The sequence below is a fragment of the Homo sapiens genome, chromosome 7, assembly GCF_000001405.40.
Source record: "Homo sapiens chromosome 7, GRCh38.p14 Primary Assembly".
Taxonomy (NCBI): domain Eukaryota; kingdom Metazoa; phylum Chordata; class Mammalia; order Primates; family Hominidae; genus Homo; species Homo sapiens.
In genome coordinates, this window is record NC_000007.14 from 6,949,586 (window position 1) to 6,960,135 (window position 10,550).

Here is a 10,550-nt window from a genome sequence, read left to right on the forward strand (position 1 = left end):
AGGCCCCTACCTATCCAGTGAAAGTGTCTACCTAGACCAAGAGGTATTTTAGTTTCCTGACTCGGGGCACGTTGAGTAAAGCTAATTTGCCAGTCCTGGGTGGGGGCAAATCCCTGAGCTTGATGTGTAGGGAAGGGAGGGGGCCTGAAGAATCCCTGAGGAGTAGTAGAATAGCTGATGGAACACTGAGAAGTTATTTCCTTGAGGATAGATTTCCACGATGGAAAGGAAATGAGAGGTTCTAAGAGGCGGGCTAGTGGCTTGTACTATAGCATAGCCTGCCTTTGCTGGTGTGTGGCGATTAGGCCTGGTGGAACTGCCATCAATAAACTAAGTGTGATCAGGGTGAGAAACAGAGAAGAAGGAAATGTGGGGAAATGGGGTGAATGTCAGATGGATCAGAGAGATGAAGTCATGAGGGTCAGGTGTGGTATCAGGAATAATGTGGGAGGCCGGATTGAAGTCCGGGCCAGGAACAATGGTAATTGTGGGAGACTCAACAAAGCGTGAGTACAGCTGAAGGAGCCAGGGAGCAGAAAGTATATGTGGCAGGTGTGAGGAAGAAAATAGATTTTGGAAGTTATGAGAGCTGTAGAGAGTGAGTTGAGCATAGCTTGTGATTTTAAGGGCCTTTAAAACTATTAGGGTGGCAGCAGCTGCTTCACGGAGACATAATGGCCAACCTAAAACGGTAAGGTCAAGTTGTTTGGACAAAAAGGCTACAGGACGCGATCCTGGTCCTTGTGTAAGAATTTCAACTGCACAGCGCTGCACTTCGGCTGTGTGTAATGAAAAGGGTTGGGATGAGTCACGGAGAGCTAGAGTAGCAGGACGAGTTGCAGACAAAACTCCTCAGACACCGGATTAAAGAAGGAAGAGGTTTTTTTATTCGGCCGGGAGAGTCAGCAGACTCGTGTCTTAAGAGCCGAGCTCCCTGAAAAAGAAATTCCTAGCCCTTTTAAGGGCTTACAACTCTAAGGGATCTACCCGAAAAAGTCATAATAGATCAAGTAAGCGTGAGAAATGTGACTGGGGGCTACAAACATCAGCTAACAGAACAAAAAGTTTTTACAGTGCTTTCTCATACAATGTCTGGGATTTACAGATAACACCAGTAGTTTTGGTCAGGGGTTAATATTATTGATATTTTAACCACCGGGGCCAGGTGGTGGCGCCGAGGGCGTCTAGCTATTTATTTTACTTCTGTTTTTTCCAGCTTTTTGCTTTCTCCCTTTTTTCCTGTCTTATAAACTAGGGAAAAAGGGAGGTTGGGGAGGAACTGGGAAGGACAGCAGGAGACGTGGTGGTCTCACACCATATTTCCCTCCTTTGAGAATTTTCACTTTTAGTGGGAGTTCTCGCTCTCATCTTTACTTTTTGAGTCTCTCTGTGAGATTGAACGATAGTGATTTATATAATACACCTGTGCTGAAGTTTTCTGATGAATCAAAGTAGCAACAAAACCTTTTGTCATTTGAAAAAGCGAGGGTAATACACGGGGGAGCAGCAAGCAAGCTCCTATCACTAGCAATACACCTACAATGAGGGGTTTAAATCCTCCTATAGCTGGAAACCATTTTCCAAATAAAGACTCAGGGTTAAACTCGTGCCAAATCTGTAAAGGCACATGTGCCACCTTTGTCATGTCCCTGACTATCCTTGATCATTTTAACCTCCTATCCTTGATCATTTATTTGTAGGCAGCAATTGGTTAAGTTAAATTTTCCACAAACTCCTCCTTCAGCTACTAACAAGTAGTCTAAGGCCAGTCTATTCTGATAGATAGCATTCCTCATTTGGGTTTCTTGCCAAGCTAAAACAGTCAAAGCTCTGCCAGTTTCATTAGTAATTATTTCTAAGACAGCCTGCAACCGTATGATCCAATTGAGCATGTAGATGGGGGTTCGGTATCCCCATGAGCCATCTTGTGCCCATGTGGCAGGCCCATAATACTGTATGATCCTTTCAGGGGGCCACTCATTATCTTTCCAGTTTCCTATAACTATGCCTTTCTTTTCTCGGGAAGTATAGACAGGGAAACCTAGCAGCTTACCTGTTTTTATGGGTAATAAGAAAAAGGACGGCTTAATAGTGCCAATAACACAACTGCCTGCCCATTTATTAGGTAACTGAAAGTAGGCTCTGTGCCTACATATCTAGTATAGTCCAGAGGGAACTGTCCAGTCCTGATGAGATTCTGGATGAGCCAAAGCAGTTTGTAATTTAGAAAATTTACTAAATGGATTCTTTTCAGTGTGGTTTAGGCCCTACTAAGTAATTGTCTTTGTTGTGCTGTTATACAACTTCTGTCCTATACAATTAAGCTTTCCTACAGGGATGATAAAGTCTTTCCCTTCTCTAGCTATACAGTATTGTCTAATAATTGAGGTTTTTGGACCTAGAAGTTGCTAGCTTGGGCCTTCTGAACTGGAATTATATCAGGAGCTGGATCAGTAGGCACCAACTCTCGGGCTTCCCAAGGCCATCTGTCTCCGACAGTGGTTCCTCCGCGTACATAACAAGAAGTAACATTAAGGGAATGAGCTACATTTTCTGCTAATTGGAGAAACAAATTTTTTGTCTTTTTCGGAAGTTCTGGTGCTGGCAGATTCAGCTCCTCATAAAAGGTTTGAAATACTGGTTTTGGGAGAGCACTTGTGGACCTCCCCTCTAATTAAAATGGCAACTTGAGGGTTTAACCCTGTCCTATTGATCCCCAGGGTTACACGTTCTCCCTTTTTCCAACGGGGATCTAGGGAATGGTAATTATTAGTTCTAGTGGGTTACAGTGACTGGCAGCACAGGAGGGGTTGGCTTCCCCCTTCTGAAGATAAACCGGGTCCTTTTTGTTCTTTTTTAAAGTAGCCTAAATAACACATGTCCAATAGCCACAATTTTCACAAACCCCTGACTCATGACAAACATATTTATTTTCTACTCTTTAGCTCCTTTCTTAATTAAGAGAACCACATCCTATTTCTAGCTGTTTACTATTAATGGCTGCACAAGCATCAAATCTTAAAGTTATTTGCTTGGGGATTTCTTTTTCTTCTGTTCTAGTTATTATTTTACTTGTATCACCTAGGAAAAGGCCAGTTCTTATTCTTTTTTCAAAAACGGCGGTTGCAGGGGGCTCAGATGGGTTATAACACACATCAGGTCGGTCATTTCTTCGGCTACATACCTTGTACTGAGTGGCATTATACAAACAAGTTTCTTTTAATGTTCCCATACATTCATAACTATAGAACAGAAAGATTGTTTTAATTTGCTGTCCTACTTCGGTGACCTGATGAATACACTGGGAACAGTCCCCAGTTTGAGTAAGGTCAGTTGAAGCCCTTACTGTATAAGTCCAAAATTTAAGAAAAATGAATCTCATGATGAGCTTCCTCAGGCTTCGGCCGTGCGTGGACCAGTCAGCTTCTGGGTGTGACTGGAGCAGGGCTTGTCGTCTTCTTCAGGGTCACTCTGCAAGGGTTGTCTGGGCTTGGTCTTGCCTCCCAGGTTTCAGGCCCTGCAGGTTTTATATGGCTGTGTTGGATCCAGGCTGGGATTCCTTCTACCTTCACAGCGGTGGGAGTGCTCAGGACGATAGTCTGGGGTCCTTTCCACCGTGGGCACAAAGAGGCTACTTTCCAGTCCTTGATCCACACTCGATCATCTGGGGAGAAAGGGTGAACTGGGGAGAATAAGCTAACAGGGCATCTCTCATTTACCCAGGCTGAGATTGTTTGTGTAATTTTTCATAAGGCCTGTAGCTGTCGCTGTAACTCAATTTCACCTAACTCTCAGGGAGTGCCTGGAAGTCCCCGCAATATAGGAGGGGGCCTACGATATAATATTTCATAAGGGGAATATCCTGTTCTTTTAGAACGGGTACATCTAATTTTAAATAATACCATAGGGAGAGCCTGTAGCCATTTTAATCCTGTTTCCTGACATACTTTCCCTAAACTATTTTTGATAGTTTGATTCATTCGCTCCACCTTTCTGAAACTCTGAGGCCAGTAGGCAGCATGCACTTTCCATGTGATCCCTAACATCTTTGCCACCTTCTGTACTAAGTCAGCCACAAACGCCGGCCCATTATCTGAGCTGATCCATAAGGGCAGTCCAAATCTAAGAATAGGATCTCGAAGAAGCACACGAGTTACTTCACGAGGTTTCTCAGTTCGTGTTGGATAAGCCTCCACCTACCGAGAGTAGGTGCGCCCAAGAACTAGTAAATACTTGTTACCTCTACACTTTGGCATCTCAGTGAAGTCCACCTGGAGATCTTCAAAGGGGGCTGCTCCATAAGCTTGTATGCCGGGTGGAACGGCTGGACCTTGCCTCGCATTATGCTGTCGGCAGGTAACACACCACTGCGTCACCGTTTTGGCAAGGCCTGACAAATGTGAGATGTAGAAATACCAGCCTAACAACTTTTCAAGTGATTCCTGACCTCAATGGGTGGTTTCATGCACAGCCAGTACAACTGCAGCTCCTGGCAGCTGTGGCGCAGCTACTCTCCCATCCGGTAACCGAATTCATCCTTCCTCCATCACTTGTCCTCCCTCTGCCTGGAGAAAGTCCTTTTCTTCTTTAGAATAAGTAGGTACAAGATCAGGTGCTTGAGGGAGCAGGGGGGCTGTGACTGATGCCCGGAATGGGGCAGATGCTGCTTTTCGAGCCTCTGAGTCAGCGCGGGAATTCCCTAAACCCACCAAGGTGGAAGCTCGCTGGTGTCCTCTGCAATGCATAACTGCCACCTTGTGGGGTCTCCATACTGCTTTTAATAATTGCAAGATTTCTTGTTGATATTTTATGTCTTTCCCCCCAGAGTTCAATAGGCCCTTTTCTTTATATAATGCTCCATGCACTAGAAGGGTTAAAAAGGCATATTGAGAGTCAGCGTAAATGTTGACATTCTTAGCTTCACTGAGTTCTAAGGCCCGAATTAAAGCAATGAGTTCAGCTTTCTGAGCTGAAGTGCCCTGGGGAAACGATCTGGCTTCAACAACAGTGTCCAGAGTTACCACCGCATATCTTGCACATCTCTCTCCTCGTGGGTTGATGAAGCTGCTCCCATCCACGTATAGTTCCCAGTCTACTGATGCCTAAGGCTGGTCCTGGAGGTTAGGTCTGCTAGAGTAAACTGAGTCCAACACTTCTACACAGTCATGCTCAACAGGGCTCTCTGATACTGGGAGCAAGGTGGCGGGGTGCAGGGTGTTAAAAACTTCAATGGTTATACGGGGATTTTCACAGAGCAAAGTCTGGTACTTGGTGAGTCTGGCATTCGTTAGCCCATGATGTCCTTTAGTATTCATTAAAGTCACCACAGCACGGGAGGCCTTTATGTTCAGGTTCTGCCCAAGAGTCAGCTTATTTGCTTCTTGTACTAGCAGGGCAGTTGCTACCAAGGCCCTCAAACACGGGGGCCGTCCTTTAGAAACCCTGTCTAGTTGTTTAGAGAGGTAGGCCACCCACCTTGGCCAGGGCCCCACAGTTTGGGTTAAAACTCCAACTGCCATCTTTTCTCTCTCTGACACATACAATGGAAAAGGCTTTGTTAGATCGGGTAGCCCCAAGGCTGGGGCTGACATAAGTCTTTCCTTTAACTCATGAAAGGCTTGCTGTTGCTGGGATCCCCATTCAAAACCTTCCCGGTTCCCCCACTTTGTGACCTCATACAAAGGCTTGGCTAATACTGCAAAGTTTGGGATCTACAGTCTACAAAACCCCACAGCCCTTAAGAATTCTCTCACCTGCCTTCTGGTCTTAGGCTCCGGTAGATTGCCAATGACCTGCTTTCTTTCTGATCCTAGGCTGCGCTCCCCCTTCGGATAGTAAATCCTAAGTAACGTACCTGCTGTCGGCAGATCTGAGCTTTTTTCTTGGACACCTTATACCCACAGTCCTCCAGGTGCCGGAGTAGAATATCTGTTCCCTTGGCGCACCCAACTGCCGTGGGGTGTCCCAGCAAAAGGTCATCAACCTACTGGAGCAACACGCAGTCTAGGTCTCTGGTGGGAAATTTCTGGAGGTCTCGAGGCAATGCCTCCCCGAAGATGGTGGAGGAGTTCTTGAACCCTTGGGGAAGCCGGGTCCAAGTGTACTGAGTAGTGACACCTGACTCCGGATCTTCCCACTGAAAGGCAAACAGCTTCTGGCTCTCTGGGGCTAATCTGAATCTAAAGAAAGCATCTTTCAGGTCCAAGCAGGTGAAGCAGCTGTTCTCAGCTGGCAGCAACCCCAGCAATGTGTACGGGTTAGGTACTGCTGGATGTAAAGTCACTGTAGCCTGATTAACCAAGTGCAAATCCTGTACAGGCCTGTAGTCCTTGGTCCTAGGCTTGGGAACAGGCAGGAGGGGAGTGTTCCATGGAGACTGACAAGGAACTCTAATTCGAAAAGTTCTTAGGTGCTTGAGATGGACCTGGATACCTTCAGGAGCTTCTCTGGGGACCGGCTCCTGTTTTTGCCTAAACGGCTGGGCCCTAGGCTTAACTTCTATAAGTATGGGGGCTTGGTTGACTGCCAACCCTGGAGGGTTGTCTTCCGCCCACACTCTTGGCCACTGCTTAGCCAGAGCTGGTCTTATCTCTTGGCCCAACTCAGTTAAGAAAAATCTCCATTCCTCCTCTGGGGGGACCATAAGGGTTATAATGACTCCCGTTCTGGGTAACTTTAGCAGCAAAAAGCCATGCTCTGTAAAAGAGATAGTGGCTCTCAGTTTGCTAAGCAAGTGCCTTCCCAATAAGGGCAAGGGACAGTCAGGCGTGGACAAAAACTGATGAATCACTTTATGTCCTCCTACAGTAGAAGTCCGGGGCAAGCAGAAAGCTTGCTTTGCTGAAATCCTTTTGGCTCCGATGACGTCAATAATCTTTTTGTATAAGGGGGCTACCGGCGCGGTTACTACTGAATGTTTAGCACCGGTATCTACAAGAAAATCAATGTCTTTACCCCTAACTGTCATCCTGACAATAGGCTCTTTGGGTGTCCTTGAGCCCTGTCCCCCTCAGTCCAATAACCCTTCTGCCAGGTTGAGCAGGGTCCCTTCCTCCTTGTCTGGAGCCTCTTGCTCCAAGTCACCTTGTTTTCTTTTTAGCTGAGGGCATTTTTTCTTCCAATGTCCTATTTATTTACAATAAACACACTGATTACGCTGCAAGCTCTGACAGCCAGGCTGAGTTTCCTTCCTGGGACCCCCCTTCCCTTGCCTCTTTTGGGGGACCCTTTTGATTGCTGCCGCTAACAGGTCGGCATTTCGCTGGGCCTGATGTTTCTTCTCTCTGCAGTTTTCCTTACGGCTTGCTGCATCTCTGTTTACAAACACCTGGTTAGCTATTTCTAATAACTGTGATGTGTTCATCCCTGCAAACCCAGCCTGATTCTGCAGTTTTTTTCTAATGTCTTCTGTGCTTTGACTAACTAAAGCCGTGTTAATAATGCATTGGTTTTCAGGGCTATGGGGATCAAAGGGAGTATACATACCATAGGCCTCACAGTCTCTCCTAGAATTGTGCTGGACTTTCTTCTTTTCTCTGAATTACCTCAGAGACCTTGTTAACGTTTGTGGCCTCCTGGGTTCCCCTCTTTAATCCTTCCAAGAGAGCTTCCCTGTATCGGTTTAGCCTTTGCATATCCTCTCTTTCATTTGGGTCCTACTGGGGGTTGGTTCCCAGTAACTGGGTCCTTCCATACTCTTGGGGGTTTTGGTAGTCAGCTGGTGCATGTTCCTCTAGCCACTTAGTTGCTGCTTGGAGCACTCTCCGCCTTTCATCTGTGTTAAAGAGGAACATGAGCAACTCGTGGCAATCAGCCCAAGTGGGGTTATGGGTCTGGATAATAGTTTGGAGCAAATCAATCAGAGCTTGTGGCTTTTTGGTATAGGATGGGGTATTGTTTTCCCAGTTGAGAAGGTGGGCAGAGGTGAAGGGCTGGTACACAGAAACACGCCTCCCCACCACGTGGCCATCCTCATCTATCCCAGTATACCGCTGTTCTCACAGGGGCATTTGTATCCCCGTTTTGAGTCTTAAACGAGCTGCCAAGGGAGGGGTTTCTCCTGAGTCCTCACCTCTTCTCTTGTATACTCTGGGTGGCCTAGGGATATGTTTGTCTCGTGGAGGCACAAGCACCGTGGACTCAAAAGTGGGGAGCCTCTCTCCCTGGTAAGGGGAGGGCACCACTGGGATCACTGGTGCCATCTCCTGCAGTGCATCTTCTGATGTTGGGTCGAATAGAACTTCAGGAGTTGATTTCCCTCAGCGGGTGGAGCGGGATCCTTCCTTGGCTATCTGTCCCTTTGCTACTAGCACTGCTGCTGCCTGCCCCCTTAGCCACTGTGGGGGGTTTAGCATCAGCTGTAACCAAGTGTCTATGTATGGAAACTGGTCTGAGTGTCCTGACTTACCAGTTACCTTGTGCCATACCTTAGAAACAAGGGACCTGTCCAGGCTTCCTTCTGATGGCCATCCTACTTCTAATATTGGCCAATCTATTTTACACAAAGTTCTAAGTTTCCCTGGTGTCATAGTAACCCCATAGTCTCCATTAAATCCTTTCTTAAAATTTTTCAACATAGTTCCTAGCAGAGTAGGCTTACTTTGTGTCTGACCCACGTTTCCTCGAGACAAAACACCAAGCTCACACCACACGCACACAACAGAACAAAGAATGGGTAAAAAGGGCACACACACACTTTTTCAGTTTTCACCAAACCAGAATCAAAACCAAAATCAGAGTATCCAGAAATCCAAGCCAGGTCTAACCAAAACCAAAGTATCAAGCAATTCAAGTCAAGTCAAAAACAAAAACCAAAGTGCCAGTACAGGCACGCCGTGGGTGATCAGGCCACACTTCCACTCAGATAGAGTGGGCAAGTTCCAAAGACCAGTCTTACCAAGTTTCAAATGTCCGGACTCCAAGTGCCTGTTCCTTCCCAGTGTTCACCCACTGCGTCGATCCTCCACGGGGGCCTACCACACACTGCTCTGACGAGGCATTCCACCGGGTCAATTGCCTACTTGGGAGAGCTCTCAGTATCCGTGTCGCTCAAGCTGGCAGGAGTCCCCCGCAGGGATGCTCCACAGGGCAGGCCTAAGCCGCCTAAAGTGCTGCCTCAACTGTCCGCCAATTACCTCGCTTCCCGGTCAGGTAACCAAGACTAGGGTGGGGGCAGTCTTTAAAGCTGTCTTCAAGGAACAGAAAGGGGAGTGGGGAAAGGATTTAGGATCTATGGGGTCAGCTAGGTTTCCTTTTGTGAGTTTATATAATGGTTTTGTTAGGATGGCAAAACCAGGTATCTAAAGGTGAGAGTGTCTAACCATGCCCAGGAAGGAAAGGAGTTGTTGTTTTGTAGAAGGGTTTGGGGTTTGAGAGATGAGTCACACACGATCGGCAGGGAGAGCACGTGTGTTTTTATGAGAATTATGCTGAGATAGGTAACAGGTAAGGAAGAAATTTGGGCTTGACTGAAGTAATGGGGGCTGTCTGTGAAGCTTTGCGGCAGTACAGCCCAGGTAATTTGCTGAGCCTGATAGGTGTCAGGGTCAGTCCAAGTGAAAGTGAAGAGTGGCTGGGATGAAAGGTGCAAAGGAATAGTAAAGAAAGCATGTTTGAGATCCAGAACAGAATAATGGGTTGTGGAGGGAGGAATTGAGGATAGGAGAGTATATGTGTTTGGCACCTTGGGGTGGATGGGCAAAACAATTTGGTTGATAAGGCATAGATCCTGAACTAACTTGTAAGGCTTGTCTGGTTTTAGGACAGGTAAAATGGGGGAATTGTAAGGAGAGTTTATAGGCTTTAAAAAGCCATGATGTAGCAGGTGAGTGATAACAGGCTTTAATCCTTTCAAAGCATGCTGTGGGATGGGATATTGGCATTGAGCGGGGTAAGGGTGATTAGGTTTTAATGAGATGGTAAGGGGTGCATGATAGGTTGCCAAGGAGGGAGTAGAGGTATCTTCTACTTGTGGGTTAAGGTGGGTGGCAATGAGACGTGGCTGTAGTCCAGGAATAGTCAGGGAAGCAGATAATTTAGTTAAAGTGTCTCAGCCTAATAAGGGAACTGGGCAGGTGGGGATAACTAAAAAGGAGTGCTTAAAAGAGTATTGTCTAAGTTGGCACCAGAGTTGGGGAGTTTTAAGAGGTTTAGAAGCCTGGCTGTCAATACCCACAACAGTTATGGAGGGAAGGGAAACAGGCCCTTGAAAAGAAGGTAATGTGGAGTGGGTAGCCTCCGTATTGATTAAGAAGGGGATGGACTTACCCTCCACTGTGAGAGTTACGTAGAGCATCTGTGATGGTCCTGTAGGCTTCTGAGGCAATCGATCGGGCATTGTCAGTCTTCAGCTGCTAAGCCAAGAAGATCTGGGAAGGAGTCAGTCAGAGAGCCTTGGGCTGGAGTTCCAGGGGCTCTGGGAGTGGCTGCCAGGTGAGTTGAACAGTCCAATTTCTAGTGGGGTCCTGCACAGATGGGACATGGCTCAGGAGGAATCCTGGGCTGCAGGCATTCCTTGGCCTGGTGGCCAGATTTCTGGCACTTGTAGCAAG

The 10,550-nt window shown here is 46.9% G+C and overlaps 1 protein-coding gene across 4 annotated transcripts; it reads right to left on the minus strand.

Annotated features, from left to right (window-relative positions):
* Positions 1-864: 864 nt before the first annotated feature.
* On the minus strand, positions 865-10,463 carry LOC112267992 (uncharacterized). Of its 4 annotated transcripts, none has more exons than XR_002956537.2 (2): positions 10,267-10,463; positions 865-3,664 (listed from the first exon to the last, which is right to left on the minus strand). XR_002956537.2 is itself a non-coding variant. In XM_024447030.1 (2 exons), the coding sequence occupies exon 1, from the start codon at positions 6,965-6,967 to the stop codon at positions 5,984-5,986; it is 984 nt and encodes a 327-aa protein (XP_024302798.1). In that variant the 5' UTR covers positions 6,968-7,199; the 3' UTR covers positions 865-3,664; positions 5,855-5,983. The 4 variants fall into 4 exon arrangements, 1 of the variants encoding a protein (XP_024302798.1); XR_002956535.2 differs by lacking the exon at positions 10,267-10,463 and adding an exon at positions 4,241-5,283; XR_002956536.2 differs by lacking the exon at positions 10,267-10,463 and adding an exon at positions 4,241-4,387 and having other exon boundaries at positions 865-3,682.
* Between the last annotated feature and the right edge of the window lie 87 nt (positions 10,464-10,550).